This window comes from Homo sapiens, chromosome 14 (assembly GCF_000001405.40).
Source record: "Homo sapiens chromosome 14, GRCh38.p14 Primary Assembly".
Lineage (NCBI taxonomy): Eukaryota > Metazoa > Chordata > Mammalia > Primates > Hominidae > Homo > Homo sapiens.
Window position 1 is genome coordinate 56904142 of NC_000014.9, and position 21121 is coordinate 56925262.

Here is a 21121-nt window from a genome sequence, read left to right on the forward strand (position 1 = left end):
GAGAAATCGCTCCCTTTGCCCATTTTGTGGACAGAATTACTTTGCAGGAACAGGTATATTTCAAGATTTCCTTTCTAATTAAACAATGCAATGCACACATTGTAAAGACAGAATTTTCACTGAACATTTTCATGAATGGTTTCTGGTTGTTGGCTGTATCCTGAACCTTACTGTAAAATGGTAACAATAGTGTTTGCTAGTCACAATTTTAAATTAGAAGGCCAAGAGTTTGGATTTTATAGACTAATACACATGCCTGCTATAGCCAGTTGGTAAGACAAAGAATATTCATTTACAAAAGAGGTGATAATTTAAGTAAATCATAAATCTTTTGATGTATGTTAAAAGCCAAATACATATTTTTGAATGAAAGAGTATCTTTAAGAACTGATTATCAAAATTATTTTATGTAATCTCTCCCCCCTCATCCTCCTTACTACCTTTTTGGATAACTTTACTATCTCTGGATGCTCAAAGATGAATAGGATAAATCCTACTTTTAGGGACTGATGGTCTGGCAGTGGGGAGAGTAGCACTGGAGGAGAAGAGGCTAAAGGACTTAGTGAGCTGGTGCAAGAGAGGAACACTAAGAAGACTGAAAGTTTTCTAGTTTGGACCCCTGGTTTGGTAGGGAGATTATTAATCAAAATAAAGAAGGAATGCAGGTTAGGGGTGGGGTGGGGATAACAGATAGTAAATTTAATTTAGGACATCCTGAATTAGAAGTGTCATAGGTGCAGATGTCAACTAGGCAATTAAACATATATACATATACACACAAGTATTTACATAGTATATTTACACGTATATATGTATTTATGTTATACACACACATACTATATATATGTGTATATATATACCTGAAACTTGTGGACTAGAGATTTTTGGGAGTTGTCAGACTATTAGCAGCCACCCGCTAAAAGTCTGGACACCTGGTTTAGTAGTGAGGTCATTCATCAAAATAAATGAGCAGGTGGCTGCTAATGATATGGAAGTAGATGAGACTGTCTATGGAGAACACGTACAATATGAAGAATAAGAGAAGAAGGCTGAGAACAAGATCTTAGGGAATACCGTTATGAACAGGGTAGACAGAGGAAAAGCCAGCAAAGGAAACTGGGAAGAAAGAGGAAAAAAAGGAGAATGAAAAGAGAGTTGTCATGGAAGTCAAGGGACAAGAGAATGACTACTACCCATGGTTAGGTAGGAGATCAGCAGGACATGTTTTCCAAGCACTGGTCACGAGATCCTGCTCAAAACAGGAGCTGATCAAAACGATTTGCAACAAAGGAACTGGTCAAAACCAGCTAAACCCAAGATGGCAATGAAAGAGACCTCTGGTTGCCCTCGTTGCTAGTTGTATGCTAATTATAATGCATTTACATGCTAAAAAAAATTCCCACCGGTGCCATGACAGTTTACAAATGCCATGGCAACTCCTGGAAGTTACCTTATATGGCTTAAAGAAGGAGGTAGCCTCGGTTCCAGGAACTCCCAGAAGGTTCACAAATAGCCCACTCTTTATTTAACATATAATCAAGGAATAGCCATTATATAGCTAGCCAGCAATCTACGAGGGCTGCTGCTTCTGCTGCTGCTACTACTGCTTCTGCTGCTGCTACTACTGCTACTGCTACTGCTACTACTCTGTCTATAGAGCAGCCATTTTCCTGTACTCTGTTTCTCTAATAAACTTGTCTTTGCTTTGCTTTGTTTGCTCGTTTGTGAAGTCTCTCCTGTGCAAAGCCAATTTTGAAGTTGGGCTGCATCAAAGGGGTCTAGTAAGAAGCTGGCAACTTAGAATATGGCAATTTGGAAACACTGGTGTCTTGGTGATGGTTGTTTGGTTGGCATGATGAAGGCTGGAGTCAGAACATCATCCCCACGGGAGAAAAGTTAATGGATGATGAGGAAGGAGAGATGTTGGACTACTTTGAGAAGCTTGATTATGAAGGAGAGGGACAGAGCAGTGGCTTAAGGACTGCAGGATGTGAGGACAGTTTTGTTTAGGTCTGAGTTTGGAAATAATTGAAGATAGGGCTATATTCAGATGACCCAGAATGGAAGATGGAGGTTCTGACTGCTGACTGCTGGCGTTTGTGTGTGTGTGTGTTCTAAAGTAGAAGATGAAGTCTGGGGGCTTCAAGGATAAATGATTCAGAATTGTTGTTGAGAGACTCAGAAGAGGTATGTGACTGAGATGGAGAAAAAGGATTATAATTGAAAGGCTATGTGAGGCTGGGCGTGGTGGCTCACGCCTGTAATCCCAGCATTTTGGGAGGCCGAGGTGGGCAAATCATGAGGTCAGGAGATCAAGAACATCCTGGCTAACACAGTGAAATCCCATCTCTACTAAAGATACAAAAAAAAAAAAAATAGCCGGTTGTGATGGTGGGCACCTGTAGTCCCAGCTACTTGGAATGCTGAGGCCAGAGAATGATGTGAACCCAGGAGGCGGAGCTTGCAGTGAACCGAGATTGCGCCACTGTACTCCAGCTGGGGCGACAGAGCGAGACTCTGTCTCAAAAATAAATAAATAAATAAATAAATAAATAAATAAAAAGAAAGGCTATGTGGAATTGGAAACAATATCCTCATGGTCATACTCATCTGCATTGCATCTTGGACCATGCAGACAAAAGCCACCCTTGATAAAAGCAATGGGCTTTTCCTTTAGGGGAATTCTTCATTCACGTATGTATTTATCATTCAACAAATATTTATGAATGCTTGCCATGTGCCAGGCACCATTATAGGTCTCCACCAGCAGTGGTCCCCAACCTTTTCGACATCAGGGGCCAGTTTCACAGAAGATAATTTTTCCATGGACTAGATGGGGGGATGGTTTGGGGATGATTCCAGCACATTACATTTATTATGTACTTTATTTCTGTTACTATTACGTTGTAATATATAATTAAATAATTATACAACTCACCATAATGTAGAATCAGGGGGAGCCCTGAGCTTGGTTTCCTGCAACTAGATGGTCCCATCTGGGGGTGATGGGAGACACTGACAGATTATCTGGAGTTAGATTCTCATAAGGAACATGCAACCTAGATCCCTCGCACACACGCAGTTCACAATAGGGTTCGTGCTCCTATGAGAATCTAATGCCACCGCTGATCTGACAGGAGGTGGAGTTCAGGCAGTAATGCAAGTGAGGGGGAGCAGCCGTAAATACAGATGAAGGTTTGCTCTTTGCCAGCTCCTCACCTTCTGCTCTGCGGCCTGTTCCTAACAGGCCGTGGACTGGTACTGGTCTGTGGCCCAGGGGCTGGGGACCCCTGGTCTCTAGGACGCAGTGATGAATAAGACAGACAATGTCCCTGCCCTCAAGGGCTTGAAAAGAATCCTATTTTAGTTACAATAGTTTCACCCTTAGGAAGTGATATTTGAGCCTTTTTCTGAAGGTTGTGAAAGACCCAGCCAGTAAGGATCTGGTGGAAGGGCATTCTAAGAGTTAGGGGAATAGAGGATTTCTTGAAGTTGAAGAACATAGGTCCATATAAAACATTGTTTCCTACTTCATAAGGTCTTACTATTGTAACATACACGTAAAATAAATTATGTGCTATCTTGAGTTTATCCTAGTAATTCAAGTTTGTCTCCCCAATGAGTGGGGAAGGTATACTTAAGAGCAGGGGTAGTATCCTGTATCTATGTTGTATATAACACTTCCAAGCAATGCTGGTTATAGAGCAGACACTTAAAATACTGTTTTTCATCCTTGATCAGTGTGCAACATGAGTTTTATGAGATACAAATGTAGTAGTTGTAATTTTTTTAGCTTGCTCTTGGGAGCTCTGTGTGGTCTTCAACTAAGAAACCATGCTTATGGCACAAAGGCCAGTTGTCATGTAAGATCCCTTTCTTGTAGGGCAATAGTCACAGATTTTTATCTGTACACAAGATTATCTAGGAAAAAAACAAAATTTCCCAGTCTTTTTTATAGCTACATGTGGCTAGATGACTAGGTTTTGAACAATGGAATATGAAGAGAATGGTGTATGCAACTTCTAAGAAGTGATATTGAAGAAAAAGGACACTCCTTTTCTTCTTCCTCCTCCGTTTGTTTACTTGGACCAGTTCCTTAGGGGTGGATGTGTTGGTTGAATTGCCATCTTGGACTATGCAGACAAAAGCCACCCTTGTGAGCAAAGTGGAAAGTGAGAACAGCCTGGGTTGCAGATGACCAAGGAACTGTCATAGCAACCTTGAATTGCTTGCACCTTGACTTTTACATAAAAAAGAAATAAACTTATATTTTGTTAAAGCCATGTTTATAAAACAGGCTATTTATTTATTTATTTAATTTTTGAGACAGAATCTCACTCTGTTGCCCAGGCTGGAGTGCAGTGGCTGGAACACAGCTCACTAGAGCCTCAACCTCCTGGGCTCAAGTGATCCTCCTTCCTCAGCCTCCTGAATAGCTGGGAATACAGGCGTGCACCACCACACTCAGCTAGTTTTTTAAATTTTTTAGTTTTATAGGGATGGGCTGGTTTTGAACTCCTGGGCTCATGGATGCTTCCACCTTGGCCTCCCAAAGTGCTGGGATTATAGCCATGAGCCACCACACTTGGCTGGCAAATTATTCTTCTAACTATCCTATCCTATCCTGTGCTATGCTATGTATTCTACCCTAGGTTTAAATACAAAGCTAGCAACCATGCAGCAGACATTGTTTTATGAGCCCATCGATTATGTGATATAATATTTGTCATAATATTTTAGGAATAAATTGGTTCTGAATGATCAAGTGAATCTCAACTACATGTAAATCCCAACACAATGACTGTCATTGTTTAAAACAAAGCTATTTGCATGTGCCAATGGATGGATGACCATAATAAGTCACTTTTGTATGCATTCATATGGCTATGGCACATCTGGGCCCATTTTCCTTATCATTGATATCTTGTCCATGTAAACATACGAAAATTCATACGATGATTAACCTTTCTTGTGGGAATGAGTCCATCAAAAGCATGAATTTTGCTTTATTTTCATATTAACAAGCATCAAGAAAGGATAAGATTTTTTGTTTTTATTTTTTAATTGTTTTTGAGACAAAATGTCTTGCTTTGTCACCCACTGGAGTACAGTGGCACCATCATGGCTTACTTCAGCCTTGACATCCGGGGCTCAAGGAATGAGATTTTTAATCCTTTTTTTTTTAAAGCAATATTCACTGACTGTAGGTATTTCAGACCAGATTTCTGGGCCTCCCCAGATTTGCTTGGCTTGAGTGCCTCCTGGGCCTCCTCTGCTTGCTTGGTATGGAACTTGGTCACCACCATTGTCACTACCATTGTCTTTTAAAACTACCAAGGCTTCTAAAGCTTACTCAATTCTCACTCGGCCTGCCCTACATCTGGTCCAACAGGAGGCACGGCAGCTCCAGCACCCAGACCTGACCCTACTGCACCCACGTAGGCTGTAGCTTCTCCATCACTTGTGGATCCAGATGGATCACACATATTGGGGTATGGAATTTGTCTTCTCCAGCAGATGGCAATGAAGCCGGGTAGTGCATTTGAGGAGTGTATTGGCTGCATAGGGCCAGATTCAGACAATGAGAGACAGGGAACAGCTGGGAGCTCCATAGTAGCCTGCCTGGAAGATGTCCCCTAGGACTAAACAACTGACTGTGTTTTCTTTTCCTTTATTTTTTTTATTTTTTTTATTTTGTGAGATGAGGTCTTGCTATGTTGTCCAGGTCTCCAACTCCTGGGCTCAAGCAATGCTCCTGCCTTGGCCTCCCAAAGTGCTGTGATTACAGGGACAAGCCACTGTGCATGGCCAACTGTGTTTTCTTATGAAGTTGTGGTCAACTTACCATGTTTTACCCGCTTTTCTTTCTTCTATGCTTCAATTCCCCTTTTCCCTCAGTCTGTTTTTTTTTTTTTTGATATGGAGTCTCGCTCTGTTGCCCAGGCTAGAGTGCGGTGGTGCGATCTCCGCTCACTGCAACTTCTGCCTTCCAGGTTCAAGCAATTCTCCTGCCTCAGCCTCCTGAGTAGCTGGGATTACAGGCGTGTGCCACCATGCCTGGCTAATTTTTGTGCTTTTAGTAGAGACGCGGTTTCACCATGTTGGTCAGGCTGGTCTTGAACTCCTGACCTCGTGATCAGCACCCCCCCAGCCTCCCAAAGTGCTGGGATTACAGGCGTGAGCCACCATGTCCAGTCTCCCTCACTCTTAAAACTCTGGCATTACACCTTCTAATAAAGACTTAGGTCATAACTTTTGCCTTGGTACCATCTTTTGAGGACACCAGTGTACCAGAAATGTAATGAAGATGGTAATGGTAGTATCGTCATCAAGATTTCAGTCCACCTTTTCCAGTGAGAATAGGGAATAGGAAGAGAAGCAAAGAAGTATAGAGAGGGCACTGCTAGCCCACATAAACTATTGTACAAATTTAAAAAGCTGACTTCTCTGGATCTATGCAACTCACAGGCACGGCTTATTGCATAGAATTTGTACTGGATTTGAGCTCTCAGGTATCCCCTCAGCTGCATGTCCTTATGCAATGAACATCCTATACAAACATAGTCTTGAGCATAGTAGAAGTATTATGCAACTTATGAAGGAGGAAATTCAGAAAGCTCAGTTTTGTAAAGCACTTCTAACAGCGCATGTTGATGTGGTTATATCCAGTTCTAAGCAAGAGATAAATTTTACACTTATTGTTTACAGTCTCTGTTTATATGACAGCTTATCTTTTTTTAGGAAACAGCTTAAATGGGTCTTTTCCTTAGTAGGCTGGTAGAAGAGAGATGAGTTGAGCTGGGTTATAACTAGTCAATTCAATCCATGTTGAAACTGGTGTTTAAAATGTTCCAGGCATTATACTACATGGGGAGCAACAATAAGGAATCAGCACGAGTTTGCATACATTTTTAGCATCACTGAATAACGCAGGGTAAAGAGCAGAGAAAATGGATGATTGTGCTTATTCAGGACTGAGAATGCCTTTCCCTTTTTTCATTAGCTACTCACATTTTTACCTACCACTCAAACCTGGTTCAGGTTCTACATCACTCAGGACTTCAATCTTCTCCTAATACTCAACTCCCACCCCCGCCCCCCACCCATGGAGGCAGTTAGATTTTCTGCTTCACCATTTTCGATACATCAAAATCCCAAAGAAATGGAAGCACAACAGCTATTCTCTTCGATTTATCTGCTGAGTACAAACCTCCCTTTCAAAACATTGGAATACTCATAGCCCTCAAGATGGCAGGCGGAACTTTGGATACTTGGTGGAATGATGGGGCATGGGAGAGGGAAGCAGAGAAAGGAAAAGCCAGCACCTGTACTTAGGTGGGGCCGAAAAGAAAAGCTTGCAGACCCCCTCACTACACATTCTATAACAGAAAGACCTTTTCAGGCTCCCTTAGTTCAACAAACATTTCTTTGTTGCTTACCATATGCCAGACCATGTGTTACCACAAAGGTGAATAAAAGTTTCTGCCCTTCATGAACTTACGATCTAGCGGGAAAGATGAAAACATGAACAGACAATTTCAACATAATAAAGTGACTGCTGTGAGAAATGCATGAAGAGTGTGCAAAGGACAGTGGTGGCTCGTCCTGCCTTCAGGGTGATGGAAGGCTTCCTAGAAAAGACCCAGGAGTGAGTCTGTCACTCAGGGACTACTTATCACCTGACTCTCTGTATGACCTATCTCTCTAGCCTTATCCCTTGTCTGTCTCCACCTAACCCTCCTCGATTTCCTCTGCAATGATTCAAACTCCACTTTCCCTAATTTTCAAACACTTTATGTTTGCACAAGCTACACTTTCAATCTGGATGCTCTTCTCCCACTTCCCAATTCTGGAAAACCTCTATTTATCCCTTACTACTCACCTCCAAAGTAATTTCTCTGACGCTTTCCCTGAAACTTCTAGGCAGAATTGCCTCCTTCCTCCTTCCTGTTCCTAACCTACCATTGTACTTCTAAGCCCAAACTGAGCTCTCTAGCCTACCATTGTACTCCTGTGTTTACCACCGTGTGCTTCTAAGATAATATTCACCACATTTTTTTCTGCATGTTTGTTTTCCTGCATTAGACTGTGAGCTTTTAGGGCAGAAGTCATTCATCTTTGTTTCCCCAGGGACTAGCATTGCAAACGGTCCTTAGCTCTGTAACTTGGTATTTGAGGGATGAATGATTATATATAATATACTATGGAAACATTGATGATGCAGTCACTCACTGTGCTGTTCGCGCTGAATGAAACATTTGAAGCATCGTGTTAACATAGTAAATAGGCATAGGTGACATATGAGAGAGGCTGAAGCAGACCTCTTTGACTGTGGTATTCAGGCTTCCTTGCTGGCTTTCTTTGCTGGGGGTTTCTTTTTGAGGACATCTATTTTTTTTTTTTTTTTTTTTCCTGAGACGGAGTTTCGCTCTTGTTGTCCAGGCTGGAGTGCAATGGTGCGATCCTGGCTCACCGCAATCTCCACCTCCTAGGTTCAAGCGATTCTCCTCCTCAGCCTCCCCAGTAGCTGGGATTACAGGCATGTGCCACCATGCGCAGCTAATTTTTTGTATTTTTAGTAGAGACGGGGTTCTCCATGTTGGTCAGGCTGGTCTTGAACTCCTGACCTCAGGTGATCTGCCCGCCTTGGCTTTCCAAAGTGCTGGGATTACAGGCGTGAGCCACCGCGCCTGGCCTGATGACAGTCTATCTATAGGCGGCATCAGCAAGAGATCAGAGTCAGGGGAAGGATGAGGGTATTTATTCTCCTGGCTCTCTCTCTGCTGGTCTGTTGGTAGGCAGCGGCTGCATGAGGCCACATCCTAAGGCCACAGCCTCTGTTGATGAACTTTCCTCCACCACAGCTCTTTCCAGTTTCCCATAACCACTCCCTGTGCCCCTCTGGTCTCAGGTGGTTTTGTCCCTTCACTGATGCCAGCCCAGTGGTGCCATAATGTTCCTTGTTAGTTTCCCTTAATTCTTTGTTAACAACCTTTGTAAACTTCTTCTTCATTAACATGCATACAGATCTATTTTTAATTGGTAGTGGAGAATCACAGTGATAGAATCAAATCATAGTTTTGATTTGCTCACTTAACATGACATCACAAACATTTCTCAAGATTTCCACGAAGTCTGCACAATGACCATTTCATGGCAACACAATATTCCACCTTATTATGTACAATAGTTTCCTAATATATTTTTCCTTCCCTTTCCTTCCCCTTTACTTACTTTTTCTTTTCACTTTCTTTCTTTGTTTACCATTACAGATGACAAAATAAACATTCTCAAGGTGCAGATTTTTACTGCATGTATCTTCTCTTTTTTTTTTTTTTTGTTAAATATCCTGAAGTCTTTTGTGTTTTAGCCACATTTCTACCTTTTCTTCTGAATTTTTCTATAGGCAAATAGTTAAACTCATTCTACTTGAAATGTATTTACACTCACTTGTCAACAGACATTTGTTTAAACTATACTCTCCACTTGAAATACTGTCTTCTCCCAGTTTTTCAAATGCAAACCTCCCTGGCTATCCAAATTAGAAATGTTATTCTGTCTTTTGAGTTTTCTTTTGAACTGACCTATTCAAATAGTTTATTTGGTAATAAGTGATTTTTATTGTTATTTTGAAATGTAAATTAAGTCTTTTAGGTTATTTAACTTTAAACATATTATTATATTTTCTCTTCCAACTAGACTATTAATTTCTTGACAATAGGAACTATTTTCTTATATCACTTTATGTCTCTTATAGAGACTTTCATGTAGTAATTGTTTCATAAACATGTGTTAATTTGGAAAATGTTGGAGTACCATAAATAAAAGATTGGCTTTCCAAAGCCTATATAGGTTTAAGAGCGTTTACACTGAGTTCTCTGTTCATTTCTGTGACTACAAGCCATGGCTTCATTATATGATGCTTAGATTTCCAATGTTGTGTGAGAGTGTTATTGCTCTTATGTGACATTAGGAGGGGAAATGTCTTAAAAGTGTGTTTACATCTCTCTAAGTCAAAGTGGAGCCCGTGCATGAGAAAGAAACAACTCCACAATGTAGATTTAAAAGGAAGAGCAGTGGTGGGAAAAATCAGCTTCTGATGGCTAATAATAGAGATTCTAAGTTATTCTATAACATTTGCCCTGTTTTATTTTCATTATAGCGTGCTATCACCTCCAGATATGTTTAACATTTATTTTGTTATTTGCAATAATGATAAAACCTTCCTTACTACAACTAAGATATATGCTACATCAGAGTAAGGGCTTTTTCTGTCTTGTATTCTGTATTGTATTCTCAGTTCTAGAATAGGCATGGAGTAGGCACTCGATAAATATTTGTTGAGTAAATTAATGAGTAAATGAACATCTATTCACACAGTCGTGCATTGCTCAGCACCAGGGATATGTTTTGCAAAATGCATCATTAGACAATTTTGTTATTGTGCAAACATCATAAAGTATACATACACAAACCTTGATGGTGTAGCCTACTACACACCTTCCTTACTGCAACTAAGACATATGCTACATGAGAGTGAGGCCTACATCTAGGCTCTGTGGTATAGCCCATTGCTCCTAGGCTATAAACCTGTACAGTATCATACTGTGCTGAATACTGTAGGCAACTGTAACACAATGGTAAGTATTTATGTATCTAAACATAGAAAAAACACAGTGAAAATACAGTATAAAAGATTTTAAATGGTACACACCTGCATAGGCCACTTACCATGAATGGAGCTTGCAGGGCTGGAAGGTTCCCTGGCTGAGACAGTGAGTGAGTGGGAGTGAATGTGAAGCCTGAGAACATGACTGTACCTACTCTAGATTTTATAAACACTGTACACATAGGCTACACTAAAATTTATTTAAAAAATTTCTTTCTTTGATAATAAATTGACCTCAGCTTACTGTAACTTTTTTACGTTATAAACTTAAATGTTTTTAACTTTTTGACTCTTATAATAACACTTAAAACACAAACATCCTAGCACTCACCGTACAAAAATATTTCTTTGTATCCTTATTCTGTAAGTGTTTTTCTATTTTTAGATTTTTAGAAGTTTTTTTTTTTATTCTATTAACATTTTTGTTAAAAACTAAGACACAAACACACACTTAAGCCTAGGCCAACATAAGGTCAGGATCATCAATATCACTGTCTTCCACTTCCATATCCTGTCCCACTGGAAAGCCTTCAGGGGCAATAACACGCATGGAGCTGTCATCTCCTATGACAACAATGCCTTCTTCTGGAATCCCTCCTGAAGGACCTGCCTGAGGCTGTCTTATAGTTGAATTTTCTTTTTTTAAGTAGAAGGATTACTCTAAAATAACAATAAAAAGTATAGTACACAATAAACAATAAACAATAAAAAGTATAGTATTTATGTAGTAAATGCATAATCTGGTATCATAGTCATTTATTATCATTATCAAATATTATGTACATACATAATTGCACATGCTGTACTTTTACACAACTAGTAATGCAGTAGGTTTGTTTACATCAGCATCACCACAAACATGTTAGTGTGTTGCACTATGACATTATGACGACTAAGACATCACTGAGTCTTGAATTTTTCAGCTCCATCATAATCTTACGAAACTATACTGTGGTCCGTCATGGACTGAAATGTCGTTACATGATGTATGACTCTGTATTTTGCAATTTTCCAGATAGTGCTATAAGTGCTTTGTTTTCCTTACCTCATTTGAGCTTCAGTACATCCTACTCAATAGGTACTATACCTTTTTAGTAAGGAGACCGAGTCTTAGAGAAATTAAAGGACCTCCAAGGTCACATATCTAGTAACTGGGGAAGGAAAGTAAGAATTAAATCCAAGCAGTCTGACTTTGAGCCCACAGCCTTAGCCACAGTATTAAATTTGTCGGTGCAATATTGTGAAATAACAGCAATTTGGCCAGGCACGGTGGCTCACGCCTGTAATCCCAGCACTTTGGGAAGCCAAAGTGGGCAGGTCACCTGAGGTCAGGAGTTCGAGACCAGCCTGGCCAACATGGCAAAACCACGTCTCTACTAAAAATACGAAAATTAGCTGGGCGTGGTGGTGGGTGCCTGTAATTCCAGCTACTCCGGAGGCTGAGGCAGGAGAATTGCTTGAACCCGGGAGGTGGAGGTTGCAGTGAGCTGAGGTTGTGCCATTGCACTCTAACCTGGGTGACAAGAGCGAAACTCTGTCTCCAAAAAAAAAAAAAAAAAAAAAAGAGAGAGAGAAAAGAAAAGAAAAAGAGAAAAAGGAAAGAAAAGAAATAACAGCAATTAGCATTTGCTATGTGCTTCTAAAATGTATAAGCTATTTTCACATCTGTTTTCTCTTTTAATAACATTCAGTGACCTGAGCTAATGTTATAATTATCCCTACTTTACAGATGGGAAAACTGAGAGATGAAGTTATTTGTCAAAAGTCACAGTGCCATTAAGTGGCAGACTTGGAAATTAAACTCAAATCTTCTCAGTCCTCCTGGCATTTACCATGCAACAGTTTAAAATGGCCAGAGACCCACATTTATGGTTTTAGACATATGAAAAGAAATTCTATTTCAGAAGTCTCTAATAAAACAACTGCATTTAGTAGTTACTAATAAAGAATTCTGTTTTAATATTCACTAATTGTATTTTAGTAGTTACTAAGTCATTACTAATAAAAAATTACACGAGCTCTATTTTTTAATTAATTAATTAATTAATTTGTTTTTGAGACAGGTTCTCACTCTGTCACCCAGGTTGGAGTGCAGTGACATGATCACGGATCACTGCAACCTTGACCTGCCAGTCTCAAGTCATCCTACCACCTCAGTCTCCCCAGTTTCTGGGACCACAGGCACCCCACACCACCACACCAGGCTAATTTTTAAAATTTCTTTTTGTAGAAATAGGGTCTCACTGTTTTGCCCAGGCTGATCTTGAACTCCTGGCCTCAAAGGATCTGCCCACTTCAGCCTCCCAAGGTGCTGGGATTACATGTGTGAGCCACCATGCCTGGCCCATGAGTTCAAAATTTGGGGGGACAGTCCCCAAGCATCTTTGACTTTGGAAGGATATGACATTAACAACATTTTCACTGGTAACTTTCACAAAGACTGCACAATCATTGGTTCAGGAGGCTCTACGATATGCATTTGTTTTATATGTTGAAAGACATTTACTTATGATTGGTACAATAACTTATCTCCTCCTCTCCTCTTAGATACTTAGTCCTACAACAGGTGATGGCAGATGTCTCCAAAGTGTTTTTTCTTTTGACAAATTAAGATATATTGTAAACATGATTCTGACAAGTAAGATTCACGGCATGAATGTAAAAAAAACAGTCTGGGTGAAGTGGCTCACACCTGTAATCTCAGAACTTTGGGAGGCTGAGGTGCACTGATTGCTTGAGCCCAGGAGTTCAACACCAGCCTGGGCAACATGTCAAGACCCCATCTCTAAAAAGAATATAAAAATTAGCCAGATGTAGCAGTGTTTTCCTGTAGTCCTGGCTACTCGGGAGGCTGAGGTGGGAGGATCACCTGAGACCAGGGAGATCTAGGCTGCAGTGAGCCGAGATCGCACCACTGCATTCCAGCCTGGGCAACAGAGCGAGACACTGTCTCTGAAAAAAAAAGGGGGGGAAAGAAAAGAAAAAAGAAAACAGAGGAGTAGCAGTAAAAGTTACGGAGGCTGAAAAGATCTCGAGGCTGCACAGGAATGGCAGGAGACACAATCCAGAGCAGTGGTTCCCAACCTTTTTGGCACCAGGGACTGGTTTGGTAGAAGACAATTTTTCCATATATGGGGGTGGGTTGGGGGCAATGGTTTTGGGATGAAACTGTTCCACCTCAGATCATCAGGCTTTAGATTCTTATAAGGAGTACACTACCTAGATTCCGGGCATGCGCAGTTCACAATAGGGTTACGCTCCTGTGAGAATCTAATGCCACTGATCTGACAGGAGGCGGAGCTAAGGCCGTAAGGCTCACTCACCTGCCACTCACCTTCCACTCACCTCCTGTGCAGCCCAGTTCCTAACAGGCCATGGTCCGTGGCCGGGGGTTTGGGGACCCCTGATCTAGAGGTTGCACTGAGGAATGGCAGGAGATAGGATGGAGAGAAATCTGAATCAATGTGCTGGAGAATGGCTGATGGTAGTGACAACAGGAAAAGGGGTGTCAATCAAGGAGGGCACAGACTTTACTAGTATGAGTTGTGGGATAAAGGTGAGGAGGGTTTGATAAGGAGTAAGTAGATTAAAGAATATGTCAACCTTCTCTTCAGGGTAATGGATGAAGAGGTATTCTCCACTTGTGGAAGGCGAGAAGGGAAGATTGTCACTGTATGTCAGGGTAAGATGGTAGAGTAACTGTTCATGATATGAAGAATAATTAGCCTTATAATAGGAGATCCAAAAGGCAGCAAAAAATGACTTGGAAATCTTTAGGAATCAGAAACTGAATATAATTTAATATAGAAATATTATCATTAAATAGAAAGGTATTATACTTTGACATAATAAGGAAGTATTCCTATTGTCTATTCAAAAGTCTTACTTTTCATGAAGCTTTTAAAGTTTATAAGCATGTTACTGGCCAATTTGATGTTCAGATTAATCCAAGACTCACCTTAGCACATGCTGATCTGCCCACCTGCTTCTTCAACATGCACAGATTTCTCTCTTTTATGAACATGTGTGGCATTTACTTTCCATACTACTCACTTGGAATTTGTCATAATGAGCTTCTCCATGATAGTTTCAGTTTTTACACACACACACCTGTAATCTCGCCAGCTAGGTGTGTATGTTTATTCGAAGTAACCTGTGTTCGAGAGTACCTGCCACAGGCTTTTTCCTAGAGCTGCAATGCCTAGTTTGGGGCTGACATATTTGCTTACTCAGCTACTAATTGCTGAGTGATTATTTAGGCTTTATTTGGGCTGTTTTCTTCTTCACAGCCAGCAAAAGTTGCAGTGAAAACCACATGGTACAATTTATGGGAATTCATGAGTTGTAATTCATTCACAATTTTACTTCTAGATGAAAGGCAATGAGTATCCCTTTAAGTGAGAAATTTGACAAAAACTGGATTTTTAAGGAAGCATCACCTCCCCCAAAGGGTAGGCTTCCTTTCTGAGATCTCCTAGCTGCCAAGGTTGCTAAGGCAAACCTTTGCATATACAAATTTGGGTCAATGTGTTGACAGGATGTCAGATTTGTGTAGCTAAGGGAGCTTCAGCATGAATATTGAGCTGTATGCCACTCCATTGATGCCCAAATGAACCTGTAGGTGCCTATTTGTGCCTGAGGCTATTGGGGTGGAAAATAGAAGCCCTTCTTGTGAAAACCTAACCAAGGTCCACAACCCAGCCTTGACCAGCAGCAATTGGTTTTCAGCAACAACTGAAAAGTAAATTCAAAGAGATCTGAATGATGGAGCACTGGTTTCTTTTCATCATACAGCCTGTAATTTCATGTTGCAATTATTTTTCCTCATAGGCTTACCTGTGCGTATATTAGAAGTCTTCCCGGTGCCAGGAATCAACAAAGAGTTGAGTAACGAAGAACTAATTTAATCAGCTAATTTGGAGAAACTAAGTCTTACAACTATTATTTAGTTCATCAAAACAAATAAATCTCAATGAGAACAATGAAATATGTGATAATTCTTTTTTTTACCAGAAAAGTACTGCTTGAAATTATATTTTAGGGCTATGAAAATTTTACTTGAGATTGAACACAGTAAACTTCAGATGACTTTTATATTATTTAAGAAATAGAAGTGTGAATTAAATAGTATTCACCATAAGCACTTGTTTTAACTTCTTAATGTTCTGTTACGTAACATTTTGTTATCTGGGATTTCACTAATTAGTGTTTCTACATATGTATACTACAATGATAATTGATGTTATAATTGATCAGTCACAATGATTTTGAGTTATTGAGTGACCTTTTTAATTATCAAAGATTTAGTTGTACACAAACCTAGTTTTACTTGATATTTGTTTTTAATTATTATTTTATAAGAATTGGCAATCTATTAGAAAACCATTAGCTAGATTATTTGAATAATATCCATATCCTCCAATCATGTAAGATAATATAATTTATTTTCTTTGCTCCAGTAGACACCTGGGGTATTTGAAACCTTGAGCAGATCATTTTTTCACACTTCCCTCGTCTTATACAACAAAATTATCTTCTGTAAAATTTATAAAATGAAACCAATAATAATAATGTCTAAAAAAGAAATGTAAACTATGAAAATTTTATTTTACTGAAGTTTAAATTTATAATTGTTCAGGTAAAGGAAAAATAAAGAATTCTAAATAAATAGAGATTATAGTACAAAAAATGGAAATAATGAATTAATAGTCTGAGTATATTAATGCATTTTTTTGAGAAAAGGGAAAAATATTGTGTCTACATATCAGTCTGTTGCAGTAATAAATAATATTATAATTTCTGCTTTTCACCTTGAGCTATAATTTCTGCAAATTTGTCAGTGACTTTGTCAAAATTGATCTTTACACATTTATATTCAATAGATAATATAGTCAGACTTATCCTTTCCCTTTGTTGATTAAAGAACACTTTTGGCCGGGTACAGTGGCTCACGCCTGTAATCCTAGCACTTTGGGAGGCTGAGTCAGGAGGATCACTTGAGCCTAGAAGTTTAAGACCAGCCTGGGCAACACAGAAAGTCCCTGTCTCAAAAAAATTAAAAAAAAAATTAAAATCTTAAGAATATTTTTAATTAACTTTAGTTTTGAAATGTTTCTTTTATATGAAGCAAAATATAACCATAGGAAAAGTTTTAAACAATTTTGGCAGAAATTCATAAAAATCCCATTTTACAATAAATCCCATGTCTTTGTTCCTTCAGAATCAATTCTAATGGCTCTTAAATATTTCTGCAGTAGAAAAAAATTAACTATAAATAAAAATTCCAACACTCAGGATGACAGGACTGAAGTACCTTGAACTCTATTTCTTTGTCTTTATAATTGTTATGGTTTGAATGTTTTCCCCAAATTTCATGTGTTGAGAAATTAATCCCCAAAGTAACATGTTGATGGTATTTGAAGGTGGGATCTTTGAGAGTTAGTTAGGGTTAGATAAAGTTATGGAGGTTGGGACCCCCTGATAGTACGGTGACTTTATAAGAAGAGAAAGAGAGCTGAGCTGGCCTGCTGTTGCCCTCTTGACATATGATATCCTCTGTACATGCAGCAAACAGGACCTCACAGATGCCAGCAACTTGACTTTGGACTTCCCAGTCTCCAGAACTCTAAGAAATAAATTTATTTATTTTTATAAGTCACCCAGTCTGTGGTATGCTGTTATAGCAACAGAAAATGAACTAAGACAGAATATTGGTACCAGAAGTGGGGTTGTTACTATAACAAATATCTGAATTGTGGAAGCAGCTTTGGAATTGGGTAATGACCAGAGGCTGGAAGAATCTGGAGGAGCAGCCTAAAAATAAGCCTGTATTGCCATGAACGGAGCATTAAGGGTGATTCTGCTGATGGCTTGGAAGAATAGAAGACTAGGGAAAGTCTGGCACTTCTTAGAGATTACTTGAGTGGTCATGGCCAGAATGTTGATAGATAGTAAAGGTCTCAGATGGAACTAAAGAACAAGGTATTGGAAACTGAAGCAAAGACTATTATAAAGTAGCAAAGAACTTGGCTGAAGTATGTCTATGCTTTATGGAAGGCAGAATTTAAGAGTGACAAATTAGAATATTTAGCAGAAAAACTATCTAAACAGCAAAGCATTCCAGTTGCTGCATAGCTACTTTTAACTGCTTATAGTAAAATAGGAGAGAATACATACATATATATATACACACATATATATATACACATATATATACACACATATATATACATATATATACACACACATATATATATACACACATACACACACACACACACACACACACACACACACATATATATATATATATATATATTTTTTTTTTTTTTGAGATGGAGTCTCGCTCTGTTGCCCAGGCTGGAGTGCAGTGGTGCTATCTTGGCTCACTGCAACCTCTGCCTCCCGGGTTCAAGCAATTCTGTCAGCCTCCTGAGTAGCTGGGATTACAGGCGTGCACCACCACGTCTGGCTAATATTTGTATTTTTAGTAGAGACGGGGTTTTGCCATGTTGATCAGCCTGGTCTCAAACTCCTGACCTCAAGTAATCTACCTGCCTTGGCCTCCCAAAGTGCTGAGATTACAGGAGTGAGCCACCATGCCCCACTGAGAAAAGAGATTATTTAAAGACAGAACTTACAATTAAAAGGAAAGCAGAGTGGAAAGATTTGGAAAATCTGCAGCCTAGCCAAGTAGTAGAGAATGAGAGTATTTTCAGCAGAGAAATACTACAGAGTGACCAAGTGACTGCTTGAGAAGATGAGTATGGGTAGAATGGAACCAGAGGCTATTCATTAGGATAATGGGAGAAGAACCTGAAAGTATCTCAGAGATCTTTCAGGCTGCCCCTCCCATCACAGTCCTAGAGCTGTGGGAGGACAAAATGGTTTCAGGGGACAAGTCATTGCCCAGCGTCACCTCCAGTCTCTGCTACCTGCATTCCCATGCAGTGTTTCTCAGCCACCTCAGCTGTGGCTCAAATGGTTCCAAGTGTGACTGCACCAGCCACTCCTGAAGGTATAGTCGTAAATCTTGATGGTATCCACCTGGTGCTAATTCTGTAGGTGCACAGAATGCAAGAGCTGTGGAGGCATGGCTTCCTCCACTTGGATTTTAAAGGATGTCATAAATAGCCTGGGGAAACAGGCAGAGACTTGCCACAGGAGCGGAGACACCACAGAATGCCCCCACTACAGCAATGCCTAGTGGAGCTGCTGGGGCAGGATCACCCCTAAAACCCCAGACTACAACTACCAGTGTGCAATGCCAGGCTGGGAGGATTCCATGAGACTTCAACATGTGAAAAGAGCTGCTTGAGCGGAGTCCAGCAAAGCCATAGGGATGGTGCTGCCGAAGATTTGAAAGTCTAAACCTGCAGTGTTTCTAGGAGGTGGCATATGGAGTCAAAGCTTTAAGGTTTAAAGTTGTTTTCCCTTTTGAGTTTCAGAATTACTTGAGACCAGTTACTGCTTATTTTCTTTCCTCTTTCTCTCTTTTGGAATGGGAATGTCTATCCTATGCCTGTCCCACCATTATATTTTGGAAGTAGATAACTTGTTTTGATTCCACAGGCTTATAGCTGGAGGAAATTTGCATGGGATAAATTGTGCCTTGAGTCTCACCCAGATCTGATTAAAATCAGACTCTGGACTTTGGACTTTTGAAGTGGTGCTGGAATGATTAAAGATTTTGGGGATATTGGAATGGAATAAATGTATTCTGCATGCAAGAAAGGCATAAATTTCAGGGGCCAAGGGCTGAATGCTGTGGTTTGAATGTGTTTCTCAAAATTCATGTGTTGGAAACTTAATCCTCAAATTCACATGTTGGTGGTATTTGGAGGTAGGGCCTTTGGAAGGTAATTAGGGTCAGATAAGATCGTCAGCGTAGGGCCCCCATGATGGGACTGGCGGCTTTATAAGAAGAGAAAGAGAGAGCTGAGCTGGCAAGCTCTTACCTCTTGCCATGTGATGCCTTCCGCTATATTATGATACAGCAAAAAGGGCCCTCACCAGATGCCAGCACTTCGTTATTGGACTTCCCAGCCTATAAAACTGTAATAAATAAATTCCTTTTCTTTATAAATTACCCAGTCTATAGTATTGTTATAGCTAACAAAAAACGGACAAATACCACAATCATTGCGCTCCTACTGTTCATTTAAAATCTATTGTTTATATGCAAGAATATATAGTATTACTGAGATGAAAGACAAACTGTTCCCAAAGCAAACTCAATGGCTCTCAATTCTTATAAACTGACTCTCAAAATGAACATGTGTAGCTGAGTCCATATTTATTGGGGACAATGTGCCTGACAGTTTTCTGAACTTTCATGTAGAATGCAGCGTTTAGAAAGCCTAAGAAATAAAAATGTGCAAACTTTTGATTTCACAGGCTCACACCTGGGGGGAATTTGCCAACTACATTATTAAAACTTAATAATGTAATTGAAGTGTACAACTATATTACTAAAACTTAACAGTAACCACAAATATTGTTTAGAACTTAGACAAACTATTTTTGTGGAGAGTATTATTTTATTCCTTACATTGTTTAGAATGATGAGCACCTGGGGATGATACAAAAAAGCAGATCCTTTTTTTTTTTTTTTTTTTTGAGACAGAGTCTCACTGTGTTGCCCAGGCTGGAGTGCAGTGGTGCAATCTGGGCTCACTCCAACCTCTGCCTCCTGGGTTAAGTGATTCTCGTGCCTCAGCACCCCAAGTAGCTGGGACTACAAGCATGAGCCACCACACCCAACTAATTTTTGTATTTTTAGTAGAGATGGGGTTTCGCCATGTTGGCCAGGCTGCCCTTGAACTCCTGGCCTCATGTGATCCGCCAGCCTCGGCCTCCCAAAGTGCTGGGATTACAGGTGTGAGCCACCATACTTGGCAAAAGCAGATTGTTTTTAAAGTTGTTGTAATATTGATTTTCCACTCTCTGAAGACAGTGCCTCATTACTTGTATGGAAGGTTCTGACTGTCACCCAGTGTGTCCGCTCCCTCCACCTTGAGTCCACCACTGCTTTGCTTTATAAAGTTGTATTTCAATATTATACTAGGTATTTTGGAGTGTAGTTTTCCAAAACCTTTTTTTTTACAGTGTATTTTTTTTTCTCTCACGCCTCTTCTTAGTATATCAGAAATCTTTTGTTTAGTATTTCCAACTTATTAATTGTCATTCAGGAAGCTGTATACTGTTTGATGAGAACTAGACCTATAGATAAATACTGATTTGTATTTAGCATGTATTTGTACATTTGTTTAAAAGAATAATGCCTTTTAAAAAGTAAGAATGAAAGAGATTAAACAGAAGACTGTGGAAGCATTCCCAACAATTTTTTTTCATATGTGTTTGCATTTGCCAATCATGGAAACTAACTTATCATATCCTATCTCTCTCATGGAGGCACAAAGTAAGAATCCTTCACAAGAGAGCTCTCTTTTT

The 21121-nt window shown here is 39.7% G+C and overlaps 1 long non-coding RNA gene across 2 annotated transcripts in view; it reads left to right on the forward strand.

Moving 5' to 3' along the window:
* OTX2-AS1 (OTX2 antisense RNA 1) overlaps positions 1-21121 on the forward strand; it is a 119303-nt gene that overhangs the window by 92136 nt on the left and 6046 nt on the right. Inside the window, exon 3 of one of the 2 annotated variants that reach the window (NR_146411.1) lies at positions 15500-16476. The exons of the other annotated variant lie outside the window; for it this stretch is intronic. This is a non-coding gene — a long non-coding RNA (OTX2 antisense RNA 1). Of the gene's footprint in view, positions 1-15499; positions 16477-21121 lie in introns of those variants that run through there. 2 annotated transcript variants of the gene reach the window in all.